Here is a 15,787-nt window from a genome sequence, read left to right as displayed (position 1 = left end):
GCTGACACTCCTAAGGTCTGGCTGTGGCTCCCATATACACCCTGTTCAGCCACATGGCTTCTGCTGAAACAGCCCCCTCTCTGTCCTGACTGGCTAATATTACTGTGATAGAAAGATTTTACCAAACATGCTGCCTGTCGCCACTTGGCTGACACTTCTGAAAAGTCCACAAATTTAGCTTCATACATATTTGTATCCAAAAGGGATTACAAGATCGTGGAATTTGCTTCTCTTAATGTTTAGGTGAGGAAGATGAACAGGGAGCAGAGGGTCTGGGAAAAGACAACCACTTGTCACCAGCACTCTGTGGAGCGACTTACTTACCAGGCATCTACTGATCTTAAGCTTCCGTGTTTGGCCTTGTGAGGGATATGACGATATGTAAATAATGTAAGGCCTTCAGCGACTAACAGGGGTTGAGCTCAGTTCATACAGATAACAAGCTGGCAAGTCGTGTGCCACAAGTGATACCTGGGAGCTTATCACAAAGGTTCTGAAGCTGTGGGAAAAAAACCAAAATTATTTCCTGAGAAATGAAAATATGTCATACAGTTCATTTCTAAATTCATAAAAAAATCTGTAATTACTGTGTGGAATATTCAGCTCTTCCCAACTATTGAAAATTAGTTTTTGTTATAGGTTATTCCTGTCTTTTGTGTTTTCTACATTTTCATTATCTTATTACATTTAACAATAGAACTGAAATGCATATTTTCGGCCTATCTACTCTTAATTTTTTTTTTTTTTTTTTTTTTGAGACAGAGTCTCACTCTGCCACCCAGACTGGAGTGCAGTGGCACGATCTCGGCTTACTGCAAGCTCCGCCTCCCGGGTTCACGCCATTCTCCTGCCGCAGCCTCTCAAGTAGCTGGGACTACAGGCGCCCGCCACCACGCCCAGCTAATTTTTTGTATTTTTAGTAGAGATGGGGTTTCACTGTGTTAGCCAGGATGGTCTCGATCTCCTGACCTTGTGATCCACCCGCCTTGGCCTCCCAAAGTTCGGAGATTACAGGCGTGAGCCACCACGCCTGGCCCTACTCTTAATTTTTTTGCTGCAAACCTTGACTTTTTGGCCTCTTGTTTATGAGACGTTAACTATGGCAAGATAATAACGAATTCCACTGAAGAGTCTTATGAAGAATAATCTATTGATGGAGCTACAGGTTCAGGCCAAGATGGAGCAAGTCTACTACAGCCTATCTCTTGTATTGATTACAGCTGAAACCTCTAGATAAAATACAAACAATAACTACCCGAGGCCCCTCAAAAGTAAACAAAAGCAGGCAAATTATGGAACGAAGTGAAACTTTGGAGAAGTGACCTACACAGGTGTGAGTTTTCCCTTTCCGTTTCTTTTATTTCCCAGCGTTGCCTCAAAGGCAGGCCTCAGATGTAGACAGGGAGATCAGTGGTGGCACAGTTGTCAAAATCTATAGTAGAAACCCCATCTTTCTGGCAAGAAGAATCAGGAAAATGGGTCCCTGTAGTTTTGAAGAGTGTGATGGGGTGGGGTGGATGGAGAAATCCTTGTCTTGATTCTCCTTTTTTCTTACAGGTTTGTCCCAGGTTCAGAGCTCTGTGGTGGTGGCAGTGCAGGCAGATGATAGACAAGGAGTGTTTGGTTTTGGTCAGAACTGGGCAGAGGAGCCCCAGCTAGTCTGAGAGTGTAGGGGAATCCAGGAGAGGGTAAACCTAGGGAAGGGTTTCATTAATTTTGTGTATGAACTACACAAATGTGAGTTTCCTGAGCTGGACATCTGCGGGACAGACCCAAGGTACCATAGAAAAGGCATTGAAAACTGAACTGCAGCTGGAATCATTGAGGCTGTATAGCATTATGTTCAAAATGGCCAGGATATAATACAGAATTACTTGACACAAAATAATCAGGAAAATATGACCATTTGTCAAAGGAAAAGCAATTAATGTCTACCCTGAGATGACTCAGATATTGAAATTATTAAAGACTTGATAACAGCTATTTTAACTATGCCCCATTAGGTAAACAAGTTTCAAATGAATAGAGGGATAGAAGTTGTTAGTCAAGAAATAGAAAACAAACAATAAAAAAAGAACCAAATGTAGTTTTAGAACTGAAAAACATACTTGAAATTAAAAATTTGTTGAATTGGCTCAATAGCAAAATAGACGTGACCTGAAGATAGCTCATTATAAATTATCCAGTGTGCAGGACAAGAAAAAAAACATTGAAGAAGATGAATAGTCTCAGGGACTTGGTGGACACTGTAGTAAAGTCTAACACATGTTGGCATCCCAGGAGAGGACAAAGAGATTGGTGCAGAAAAAAAACTTTTAAATAATGACGAAAAGCTTCCCAAATTGAGTGAGAGACAAATCTGTAGATTCAAGAGGTCCAGTGAACCCCAAACAGGAGCACTCAGAGAAACACACTCCTAGATACTTAAAAACAACTAAGAAACAAATAATGAAAATATCATGGAGGCAGCTAGAGTAAAATGACACATTACCTACAGGAGGAGTAATGATTCAAATAATTAGAGGTTTTATGTTAGAAACCATGGAGGCCAGAAGCCAGTGGAAGAAAGTCTTTAAGGTGGGGGAGGGTGGAGGGGGGAGAAAGAACTGTCAATCCTCTACAATGAAAACAGATTTTAAAAATGGAGGTGAAATAGACATTCTCAGATGAAGGAAAACTAACAGAATTTTTTGCTAGCTGACTGTTTCTAAAAGAAATCTAAAGGAAAAATTTCAGGTTGAATAGAAACAATATCAGAGGGAAAGTTGGAAATTCAGGAATAAAGGAAAAGCTACATAAGTGGTAGATATTTAGATAAAAATCAAAGGCATTTTTTATTTTTATTTCTTTAAAATATATATGACTATTGAAAGGAAACATTTGGTGGGCTTTTCAGTGTATGTAGATGTAATACATATTATGATTATAACAAAAGATAATTGGGGAAGGATAAAGAGGCATATACAATAATATATTTAAAGGTAAAATGATATTTGTAAAATCTACTATTTGGAAATCATCATACTTTGAAGTAACTCATGGGTGAAAGAGGAAGTCCCAAAGGAAATAAGGAATATTTAGTATAGAATGTACATTAAAACATAACATGCTCAAAATTATGGGATGCAGCTAAAGCAATACTTAGAGGAATATCGATAGATTTTAATGCTTATATTAGGAAAGAATAAATGTCTTAGATCAATGATCAGGGCTTCCACCTCAGAAAGCTAGCCAAAGAAAAACAAACTACAAAGAAGGAATTAATAAAGATAACAAAAATTGATGTAAGTGAAAAGAAATTAGAAAAAAAAATAATGAAACTAAGTTGGTTCTTTGAAAAAAAAAAAAAAGGTACGAAATCTCTCACCAGAGTGTTGAAGAAAACAAAAAGACAAATTGCCAATATCAGGAATAAAAGAAGGAATATCACTGCAGACTTACATTTGAAAGCTAACAAATGAATATTATGAACAACTATGTGATCATTAATTTGAAAACTTAGGTGGAATGGACACATTCTTTGAAAGACATTAACTACCTATGGTCCTTCAACAAGAATCTGAATAGAATTATGTATACTAAAGTAATTGAATTTGTAGTTGATGCCCTTCAAACAAGGAAACAATGGGCTTACATAAGTTTACTGGCAGATTTAACTAAACATTTAAAAAATAACTTATGTCATTTCTCCTATCCAAGTACGAACCAGGCCCAATCCTGCTTAGCCTCTAAGATAGGACAAGATCAGGCACCTTCAGGGTTGTATGACCATAGACAAATTATGTCATTTCTATATAACCTCTTTCAGAAAATTAAAGAGGAGTGACTGTTTCACATTCATTTTATGAGGCCAGCACTGTCATGACAAATTTCAGAGAAAGAAAACAGTAAGGCCGGGCGCGGTGGCTCATGCCTGTAATCCCTACACTTTGGGAGTCTGAGGCGGGCGGATCACGTGAGGACAGAAGTTTGAGACCAGCCTGACCAATATGGAGAAACCCCATCTCTACTAAAATATGAAAAAATTAGCCAGGCGTGGTGGTGCATGGCTGTAATCCCACCTACTCGGGAGACTGAAGCAGGAGAATCGCTTGAACTGGGGTGGCAGAGGTTGCAGTGAGCCAAGATCACGCCATTGCACTCCAGCCTGGGCAACAAGAGTGAAACTCCGTCTCAAAAAAAAAAAAAACAAAAAACAGAACAATATGACTCATTAGCATAGACACAATCTTCCTCACATATAAAAATTATAAATACGTTATGAAAAAGGGGAGTTTACCCTAGGAATACAAGGATGGCTCAACACTCAAAAATCATTCAATATAATTCACCATATTCACAAGCTAAAAATAGACAAATTATATGATAAATTTTATAGATGCAGACAAAGAATTAGAGAAAATTTAACCCTTCAAGATAAAAATTCTCAGAAAAATAGAAATATAAGAGAACTTCCTCAATCTGATAAGACTTTATACAAAACCCATAGCTTGCATCATACTTAATGGTAAGAGACTAAATGCTTGCCTACTAAGATCAGAACAAGGCTAATATGTCTTCTCTTAGTACACCTCTTCCACTCAGGCCAGTGCAAAAAGTCAAGAAAAAGAGATAAAAGGCATATATTTGGAGGAAAACATAAAGCCATCTCTCCTTGCAGATGACATAGTTATATACATAAAAAAAATCACAGGATTAATACTTCCTCTCTCTTCAGCCATCACTGGCCATGGCCATCTAGCGTCTTGTTCTGTCAGATTTTAAAGGTAGATGGAAGAGGTGGTTCGTTAAGGAGTCTAAGGATGATCAGTCTCATTTTATATTCATGGCCTTTAATCTTGAGTGGGTCTTCAATGCTGTGGGGTGGTCCTGTTCATTTCTTGGTATATTCAGTCTCCTAGAAAACTGTATCACAATTGCTCCCCTCTTACCTCTTTTTCCTTGCTTTTTATTTCATTGAAAGGAACATTTTAAAAACTATCTTTCTCATGTTTTATTTACCAAATCTGTCAACCTGCCTGCATCTATATTGGTGGACTCTATCTTTGCTCCTGATAAAAATGGATGCATGGTCCACATTCTTATTTAAGGTCAGTTTCCTCACATTGTGCACTGATCCCATCTCTGCACCCCTACTCAAGGATCTCATTTCTGAAATCTCATTTTTTTCCTGCTTCATCAGCTTTTTCCTCTACTGGATTGTTCTTTTCAGCATGTGTTGATATTTCCCTATATCTCCCTCTAGCTGCTGCACAATGTCTCTGTTCCCTTTTACAGCAAAACTCTTCAAAAGATATATTTATGGTTACTTTCTCTACCTCTTCTATTCTTTTCTGAATCTACTCCATTCAGGCTTTCAACAGTACCACTCCACTGAAGGCAACCTTGTCAAGATTACAGAAGTCTTCCATGTTGCCAAATGCCAAAATGCTGATTTTTCAGTCCTCATCTTACTTGACATGACAGCAGCATTTGGCACAATTGATCATGTCCTGGAAGCAGTTTTTCCACTTGGCCCCTGGGATAACATCTCTTGGCTCTTCTGTCTCACTAGCTGCTGCTTTTAAGGCTCCTTTGCTAATCTTTCCTTTTCCTGATTGTATTAACTGTGTTTCAGTGCTTTGACATCTGGGGCCTTGCTGACCCTGGAAAGACTGCCCAACCCAGGAATAGTCCATTCCTAGAGACAGTAGAGAACTTACCTGCTAGCTTTGCTGGGAGCATACCTTTCATAGGTAAGCCAGCCACTCCAGAGCTCATAACATAACCACTTTTTTTTATTGGGCTTTCACCTTCTGGGCTACTTTTCACCTGCCCTAATCACCCCAGCTCCAGGTACCAAACAGTTAGGGGCAGTCCCTATGCTTTTGGTCCTGCTGAAGTTAATCAAACAGTCTATCCTCAGCCTGTTTACCCTGCCTTACCCGTTCTATTCTGGGGAAATCACAATAGAGGTTATTTCCCACATCTTCCCCCATGTCCTCTGCCTCCTGACTGACACTGGTGCCTCCCTGTGTGGCTCCTCCTTGTGTGTCATCCCCCCTTCTCTTGGGAACTGTGAGTAAAAAACTGTCTTTTTAATGCCAGTCATCTCTTGAGCTGTTTGCCTCAGATTATTCAGACTGGCTGTCCCTAAATAATGAAACCTTCATTTTGAAGCAGTGACCTCTAAACACAGTAGAGGTCAGTCTTGGACTTCTCTTATTTTTTCTGCTCTCACTTTGGATGTGCCCTCACCCAGTCATGTACTTAACATCGTCTCACAGTGATGGTTTCCAAAATTCAGGTCCCTGTCTCCTCTTACCACCCTATACAAAATAGCACCTCCACCACCCCTCACTTCTGCCTCCTTTGTTCTCCTTACCCTGCCTGGTTTTTTCTTACTACCTGATGTTTATTAGCAACATGAGACATCCCTTGGCCTCCTTAGTTTCTGAAATGGTGATGGATTCACACTCTCTGGCCAGAGAGCTTAAGTTCAAGTCTGCTATTCCGATGTCTGAAGCCTACCCTTTGTACTCCTAACTTTACTTTTCCTAATTAGATCCTCATGACACTTGGAGAGGAGGAAATACCGTGTGGGTAAACAAACTTTTTTTTTTTTAGTATTTTTCAAAAAATTTTTGTGATGGAACTTGGCATAAGATTTGTATTGGCATCGTAAGTGAACAAAATTTCCACTTATTACTTTAAACTGTTTTTGTAAAAAGTGTTATGAAATCAGCTAGTCCTAGTCTTTGTGATTACTCATTACCTCCTCTCCCAAGGAAACACTAAGTCCTTCAAAATTTCCATTGTTTATAGACAAGGCTTATTCCAGGTGTGGGAACAGATTGCTTATCTTTATCAGAGTACACTTATGTTTAAGAGTAGTACAGGAATTTTGCAAAAATTGGACATCTAGGCCTGATTATATTAGCATTTGAAATTGAGCCATCTAATTAAATATTAAACATTAATACTCAAATCCTCAAAATCAAATGTGAAAAATCTAATTTTATTCAGTTTAGATTAATATATAACTATACACTCTGGACTCTTAATGAAACCTTTCCCATTCATAATTCCCTTTTAGTACATTTTTTCTATAAGCATAACTAGTAGCCAGAAGCTATGAAAAATTATCTTCTCTTGAGAAGGTGAACAATGTTTGTATTCATGATATCAAAGATCTCAAGAAAAATCTAATTCTCATTCTTCCACCATCCCACTTCTTTTTTCATAGGAATTTGCTTTGTTAAGCAAAACTTACTTGTCTAGAATATAGACATCATGGGTAGGGGAAATGGGGAGATGTTGATCAAAGCATACAAACTTTCATTTATTAAATTGAGCAAGTTCTGGAGGTCTAATGTACAGCATGAGTGGTGATGGGTGTTAATAAATTTGATTGTGCTAATCACAGTGTATTCACAAATAATCATGTGGCACACCTTGAATAGATATCTTTGTTAATTACATATTTTTAAGTATAAAAAGATTTTGGCTTTATGCTAAGTGAGACGGGAAGTCATTCAAGGATTTTGAGTAGAGGGACATGAACTAACTTACATTTTAGCAAGACTATGCTGGCTTCTGAGTCCAGGTGAGAGATGTTGTGGCTGGGACCACAGTGGCAGTGATGGAGGTGGTGAGACGTGGTCAGGTGAGAGATATGTCTTGAAGAGCCAGTAGGATTTCAGGGTGGATACAAGGCAGAGTATGAGAGAAAGGGGTTCAAGAATGACTTCCAGTTGGAAGGATGGAGTTTCCATCAATTAAGGTGAGGAAGACTATAGGAAGGGCAGGGCTTTTTGTTATTTTCCTTTTGGGTAGGAGTGGACATAATGATAATGCATCCAGTTTGATGGTTAGAGGGATGAGGGTGGAGGACCATAGGTTTTTGTCATCTCTGCATCCTCACAGTGACACCCTTAGATATTGCAGACCTCTTGAACTTACAGAGACATCTGCCTAGAGCACCAGGACTCAGCACTCTCCCCTGGAGAGTTACCAGGTCTGGCTTGGGGCATTGGTAAGCAGAGACCTTGAAAGGTAACCCAGGGAATTCCTAAAGGAGAGCATCTGTTGGCATAAACCCTCAGGGAGGGATCTTCCTTCCAGGGGTCACTCTATTTCTCTTCTCTTTCTGTCTTATGTCACTTGTCACTGTCATTACCTGCTGATTCCAGTAAGAGTTTCTTTATTTTCTTTCTCTAATCACTGACAAACTAGACCCACAGCTTCTCTCTCTCTGTCTCTCTCTCTCTCTCATTCACGAGCAGCACAGCCCCCTTTAGTAATAATGGAAAACATGCAAGTGTTATACTTGCTTTTCCTCTGCTGCATCTGTTTCCTTATTTATTTTGATTGGATAAGTGAGAACTTTGTCTTTCCTGGGTTGCACTGAAAAGTATTTACACACATTAAAACAGAATGTGTTTAAATTTTGTAAAAGGTACATTTGCTGGAGAAAAGAGAGTCTGGTATTTTTGGGCGATTTAGTCTAGAGCTGAGGAGGAGGTTTAAGGTAAAAAGTGACCGTAGTGGTGAAAGAAAGGAGAGTGGCCGAGTATTGCCTTCTCTCTTCTTTCCCCCTTTTCAGGCTCTCCCGCTGTTGCCTGTTGCTACCAGTCCTGCCTTCATGACCTTCCTTTACACCAGGTGAGGGACAGTTGCGTGCTGGTGCAGCGGGGCATGGGGCATGTTAGCAGGGAAGGAAGAGCATTTCCGAATTCTAGAGCTCTCAGTGGGCAAGTGAGGAAAATCCTTGAAGGTTTGGAGTCTGGAGAAGAGCAGGACCAGATCTGGGTTTTAGAAAGGTGATCCTGATATCTTTAGGCATCTGGGTACAAGAAGAGAAGCCAGAGACAAGCTTGTCAGAAGGTGGTTAAAATAATTTGTTCAAGCGAAGATGAGAGCCTAGACTGTCGAAGAGGCTTGGCAGGGAAGGAAGGGAAGTGAGAGGATCTGGTGACTTCCCAAAGGCCGGAGTGAGGAGGGAAGGGATGGCTCTAGGGTGAACAGGACCCATGATTCCAAGGGGAGAGCTGAGGGCAGGAGGTAAGAGAGGAGTTCAGTGTGAGTTAGGTTGAGTTAGCCTGTAAGGTACCCATGTGGGTGAAAATAAAGTTCCTGGAATTGCCACACAGAGCCACTTTGAAGGCAGATGGAAAAACAGGGCAAGCTCAGGGGAGAGCCAGAAGCTAGAGAGATACTTGGGAGTTCTGGGCTTAAATCTTGGTGATTGAGGTGATAACAGTGGGATATGGGCTGTGGGACAGCTCTTGGGAGATCATCACTCTGTCCCTCTTACACATATTTCCTTAAGAGATGTTTTTGCTAAGGCATGGTTTGTGCTGGAAGATCAATGAAAGACAGTTTTGCTTCCAAACAGGGACTAAATTGTTTGTCACTAAAACAGCAGCAGCTCAACCGTTAGTTACCAGTCTCGTATACAAGAGCTTCTCTTGGAATTTTGAGTTCCTTTCAGCAGCTTGTTGAAAACAGATTTATGAGAGAATCTGTGCTAGTGCAAAATACCTCATGCTCGTTAACTAATACTTCGGGTGTCTGTTGGGGTCTGAGAAACATGAAAAGGCACAACCAGCCCATGTGTCACTACAGACACAGACAAAGCAGCAGAAGCCCTTGTTTTGTTCTCTTGCCTCTAGTGCCTTTGGTTCTTAATTTCCTGTCTTTTCAGTCACCTCAGCTTAATCACATAAATCTGGTTTGGTGGTTGAGGTTATAAAGCGTTTCCAGTCTGTTCTCAGTATAACCACAGAAGCCTTGTGAATAGAGAATCTTAATAATAAAGCTTGTTCAAAATACTCATCATCCAGGTAACCTTATTAAAAAAAGATCCCAAGTTATAATGCTCAGTTCCCACAGTTTTTATTGGGCAGATTGTTAGCAAGCATCTCAAACACTTTGCTGCATGAGCGCTTAAGTTATTTGACAACATCAGCACTGCTTCATACCTGTATCTTGCAATTTTTGTAAAGGCAGTGGTTTGTAGTGCATTGCTGTGATTTGAAGGGTGGGACTTTCTTTCTGGAAAAGGGTTTAATAACATTTACAGAAACAAGAAGGCAATGCCAGAAGTGATCCAACTGGCTTTTCCCTTCTTAAAGAGCTGCTTCTCAGCTGTCCCATGAGCTGGGAGAAGCCCTCCTGCCCCATAAGGCTGGCGTTGCAGCTGACACACTGTAGTTACTGAGATTGAAATCAATCACTGGACTGTGATGCTGTTAATACTGCTCTGCAGGGCAGTGACCTCCAATCCCCCCTCCGCCCCCTGTCCACAGCATACATTGAAAGGGATTGCTTGTGGAAATAGATCTTGGAGACAATTTTATATATTCAATAGCATTAGTCAGTTTTTTTCTTTGACCAAACTAGGAAAAAATGTAGTTTATGAGATTGTTCTTAAGAAGTAGATAATTTTGTCTGTTAGAATATACATTTGGTGAAGTCTTTTTTCATGAATTAAGTTAAAAAGATTGTTTTCCCCAAACAAACAAACAAACAAACTGATCTTACATTGTTACACATCTCATTAGTTATTTAACACGTGCATAATATTCTTAGCTTCTTAGTTGGGCGGTAATCTCTTGAGAAAGCAAATACAAAGCCATACAAAACTTCTGCGTTTTTATATTCCTCATAATTCCCATAGTGGTATTAGGCCTATAATAATACCGTTTTATAGTAAGTTTGTTTTGGCTAAAACTCAATTTCAGTGGAAAGTTCACATTTCATATTTTCAAAATCTGGATTCCATTTAGATTTAGGAAATTTCAGCACTTAACCACCTTTTATTTGCATCTACCTTCTGTGCAAGCCCATATATTTTACAACTGGCATGTCAGGGTTATTCTGCTGTATCATGGGGTGAGTAATACCCCATCGTCAGGATTCAATTGGTGCATTGTAAAGAGGTTCTTGCTAATTGATTTTGTGAGAACATTTGGCCTGCAAGAGGATTATGTTCCTATGGAGTTACTGTCACAACCTTTGTTATTTTCATGAGTACTTTTGCTAATATAATAACAATGACATTATTTGCCCTTTATTCTTCCTAACTTGGTAGATAAATTTGAGCAACTAAAACTGAAAAGTAATTTGTTCTTTTTTTTTTTTTTAGGTCTCATCAGAAAATTGAAGACTCCGAAGAAAGCAGTGATGAAATTCTTGTGCGTCTAACATCTGCGGTAAGACCATGCAATTTTCCTGCCTAGGGGTGCAGAAATAATGAAGCTGGGGTCCTAGAAGGGAAGTTCTTTGGGTGATGGTGTAGAGAGACATTTTCCCTGTGGCTGCTCATCATTGTGGGAGGTATGAGGCAAGGCAGAGGGAGACAGTGGCTTTGACTTTCTATATGGGGATGGAGCCTCCCTTCATGAGATCATAGATATTTCTGGTGGAAAGTTCCTGCAACCTTTGTGGAGGTGGAGGTGTAGTATCTGATTTTTTAAATACAGTATGCGTTAACCTAGGAAAGTTGTGACCTGCTGCACAAAGGAGAAAAGACTCTTTCATTAGGGAAAAAAAAGAATTACTTCAGCCAAAAAAGGCCGGGTCACTAGTTTTTAATGTACCATATTGCAACATTTTCATTGTGGTTTTTTTTTTTTTTTTTTTGAGACGGAGTCTCGCTCTGTCGCCCAGGCTGGAGTGCAGCGGCGGGATCTCGGCTCACTGCAAGCTCCGCCTCCCGGGTTCACGCCATTCTCCTGCCTCAGCCTCCCAAGTAGCTGGGACTACAGGCGCCCGCCACTACGCCCGGCTAATTTTTTGTATTTTTAGTAGAGACGGGGTTTCACCGTTTTAGCCGGGATGGTCTCGATCTCCTGACCTTGTGATCCGCCCGCCTCAGCCTCCCAAAGTGCTGGGATTACAGGCGTGAGCCACCGCGCCCGGCCTTTCATTGTGGTTTTTAAAGCTATTGATTAGACTTTGTAATTGGTTGAAGTAAAGTTCATGGCTTTCTTCATAGGAAAAGCTGACTGTGGTCACTAAGCCTTGAGTTTCAGTTTTTGACAGGCTCTAGCAATCCTACGTCACCAAACTTGTACCTATTGACTTGGCTGTTTGGAAACTTTTCTAGCCTTCCCCAAAAATTATTTAGTTCTGCTTTAACTCCATTATTAAAATGGTAATTGCTGAAAATCATGGTTGATTGGGTTATGTGTAAGGATGAAACTGGTCTGTACAGAGTTTTATACACTAGGTCTTGTCAACTGGGCACAGCTTGAAGATTGAAAGTGTCTTTCCTACTCTTCTGGAATGCAGCTTAGAAAAGTAATTTTGTATTAAATATGTGTGTTCATTTGTTGTCACACTGCTTTAAAGAACTACCTGAGACTGGGTAATTTATAAAGGAAAGAGGATTAATTGACTTACAGTTCCACATGTTTGGGGAGGCCTCAGGAAACTTACAATCCTGTTGGAAGGGGAACCAGGTACGTCTTGCATGGCAGCAGGAGAGAGAGAGAGTGAGAGTGGGTAGGAGGAAGTGTCACACACTTATAAAACCATCAGATCTTGTGAGAACTCACTCACTATCATTAGAACAGCATGGGAAACTGCCCCCGTGATACAATCACTTCCCCCCAGATCTCTCCCTAAACACCTGGGGATTACAATCCAAGATGAGATTTGGATGGGACTCAAAGCCTAATCATATCAATATGATAATCAATGGTGTAAAAAACATGAGATGGAATCTTGACAGCATATTTTGAAAACATATTTAGAACTTTTCGGTTTAAAATATTGACCACAAAGGAGTGCCTGTGGTGTGCATAATTATAATTAGCCATCTGTTTAAAAAGCATTCACTATGGGCCAGAAACTGTGTTAAACGTTGTGTGTTTGTGTGTACACACACATACATACACATTCTGCTAAGCTGTACTGTACAACAGCACTATGAAGTAGGTGGTATTATGTCTATTTTATAGATACGAAAGCTTACAGAGTTTGAGTAGCTTGCCTAAGGTCATTCAGCAAGAAAGAACAAAACAAGAGTCAGAACTCAGAATTTTTATCTCCAATATTCTCCTACTATGCCTCATTTAAAAATATATAATAAATAATGTAATGTAGTTATTGGGATAGTTTCAGAAGTGATAAAGACATGTATGATTTGGTTCCTATAGCCACACCAAGAAGATAAGACAGATATATTCAGAAGGCTAATATATAAAGGAGTTGGAAATTGTGCACAAAGAAAGGTGGTGAATAAGTAAAGTCGTAAATTCAAGACCACAACAGAAAGCTTCACTGCAGACACTGGACTTGAACCACCATTGAAAACAGTCAGGATTTGGAGATGATAATTAGGAGGATGTGTATTCTAGCTGTGGAATTTATTGTGGGCAAGCATAGGAATGAGAAAGTACAATGAAAAAATGTAAGTAGACCCACCAAGTTAGAGAAGAAGGTCCTGGTTAAGAAAAATGAAAGATTTTTTTGAACAACAGATTAATGTGATGAAATAGATGTTCAAGAGTGAAGATAAGTTGAAGATAGGGAGATTGGTTAGAGGCTGTTGAAAACCTAGTTTATGGTGGTTTTTGTGGGAACCAAAAGAAAGATGACTTCAAAAACGAACACAAAGAAATTGATTTTTTTAAGATTGAGACCATCCTGGCTAACACGGTGAAACCCCATCTCTACTAAAAATACAAAAAATTAGCTGGGCGTGGTGGCGGGCACCTGTAGTCCCAGCTACTCGGGAGGCTGAGGCAGGAGAATGGTGTGAACCTGGGAGGCAGAGCTTGCAGTGAGCTGAGATAGCGCCACTGCAGTCTGGCCTGGGCGAAAGAGCGAGACTCCGTCTCAAAAAAAAAAAAAAGAAAAGAAAAGAAATTGATTTTTAAAAAATCAGTATGAGTGGGTAAAGGTGGAGGAGTGAGATAACTGAAGTTCTGAACTTGCATGATTGGGGACATGATGATATTCTTAGGAAGTTGAGTAAATTATGCAGTAAGGTAGGTGATTTTGGGGGATATGTTGCATTTGAGGAGATAAGAACAGAAATATGCAGGAAACATCTGGAGACAAGAGTCTGAAGCTCAGAGAGCTTCTGGAAGCCAGTCACAGAGAAGTTGCAGATTGAAGACCCGAGTAGAAGATAGAGTCTGGGGAACAGCCATAGGCGGAGGGCAGTAGGGAGACTAGAGGACAGTGAGAGGAAATGGAAATAACTGAATGGTTTATACCATGAAGGTCACATTCAAAAGACCCTCTGAAAAGGAAGGAATGGGCAGCAAAGTGTTCACTGTGGATTTAGTTGACATAATCTTGCTGGAAAAATCCCCAGGCTAAAAGACTGAAGAAAATGAGGTAAGATGCTGGAGTGGTATTTAGAAACGAAAATAAATGGCAGAGAGGAAGATTTCATCTCTTCAACTGGTGGGCAATCGGCCTGCAAAATTGAAAATATCCTGTACTGAGATTAAGGGCCTTGATTCTTATTTCTTCCAACAATGTGACCTTGGCCAAGATGAGTGGTTGGACTAGACAGTTGCTAAGTTCCTTCAAGTTCTAAAATTCCATTGTTCATTCTAGAAGCATTTGTTAATGGACAGTGGGACTCAGTCTACCTCTTCATAACATAGTTGTTCCTGTTGACAATGGCATATAAACTTTGTTATCTAGGTGATAGTGTGTGCAGAAAGATATTTACCTATATCACTCAGGGAACAGTTCTCATCTACTGTGACCCCTAATCATGATAAAGGAAAGCAGAAGTGACGTCTGTAATGCAGAGTTGCCAGTGTACTCTTTGAGAGTCTGTGTTTTTGGGGGTATTGGAATGGGACAGTGGTTTCCAGCAGTACAGTCAACCGTGCCCTCTTGTATATTCACCATTTTTATTCAAATGTGGTATTTTTGCATGTGACTATCTTAGAAAATTTCTCATTTCTTTAACCCCAGTAGTTCCTGGTTCCCTCTTAGGTTCATCAGGAGGAAAAGTCCTGTCATCTAAAAATATATTATCTGAAATTTTACTCTGGAAGAGGATACACATGAGTTTTCATATTGAAGGAACATGAGAAGATGGTGCATGTGTAGAAATAAGAATGTCTTTATAATTCAGTCAAATGTAGGGTTGTTAAATGTACATAAACATGAGCAATTAAATTGTTCCAGCCATGTTTCTAGTGGTCTTCAGGGAAGAGCCATCTTTCCAAGTGTCAGACATACAGAAACCTAAACAGTGAAACTCTGTAAGAAGTTTTCAGCTTAAGGAAAAAGGACATGGCTGTAATGGACCCTTTCCATTACATAAAGTCTACAAAAACACTCTAGGAATTATCTGGAAGCAGTGTGACTTTCCGCATTCTAACTTATCAGCTTAGCCTCCTTTCTAATATCCTCTGGTGCTACACATTTTGTTAACTTGGAAACCTCTTTTCATCGACTGCAAGTCTCTGTTGCTGTGATAAAGCTGGCAGGCCAAGAAGGGCCTTTGAATGACACAGCTCATCAGTTTCCACCCTTGAAGTTCTGAGCATTGTTTTATTTTTAAACATGAATTCTTCCAGTGTTTGTGACAAATAGAGTATTCAGAATTGATCAGACAAATTTAAAATATTCATATTACAACCCAGGGGTCTGCTTGCTCAAACCTAAAGTAAATACGGGGAAGTGTTTATGGTGAATTATGTATTACTTTCAAAGCCACAATTCTTAAGGATGTAAATTTAGGAAATCAGCTAAACTTTGAAGCATTTAAAAGATCTGAGAAGTACTTGGGAAGCATCCAAAGACAGGAAATAGAAACATGAACATT

The 15,787-nt window shown here is 39.8% G+C and overlaps 1 protein-coding gene and 1 pseudogene across 2 annotated transcripts in view; one reads left to right on the top strand and one right to left on the bottom strand.

Moving 5' to 3' along the window:
• Positions 1–15,787, top strand: part of RAPGEF5 (Rap guanine nucleotide exchange factor 5) — a 238,919-nt gene that overhangs the window by 54,785 nt on the left and 168,347 nt on the right. For both annotated transcript variants that reach the window (NM_012294.5, XM_017012837.3), the window contains one exon: positions 11,129–11,195. In NM_012294.5, coding sequence (NP_036426.4) covers positions 11,129–11,195 — 67 coding nt within the window. The remainder of the gene's footprint in view (positions 1–11,128; positions 11,196–15,787) is intronic.
• On the bottom strand, positions 3,664–3,776 carry RNA5SP227 (RNA, 5S ribosomal pseudogene 227; annotated as a pseudogene).

Source organism: Homo sapiens, chromosome 7, assembly GCF_000001405.40.
Source record: "Homo sapiens chromosome 7, GRCh38.p14 Primary Assembly".
Classification (NCBI taxonomy): Eukaryota; Metazoa; Chordata; class Mammalia; order Primates; family Hominidae; genus Homo; species Homo sapiens.
Note: the sequence above shows the minus strand (reverse complement) of the source record. Positions and strands in the feature narration are given on the sequence as shown.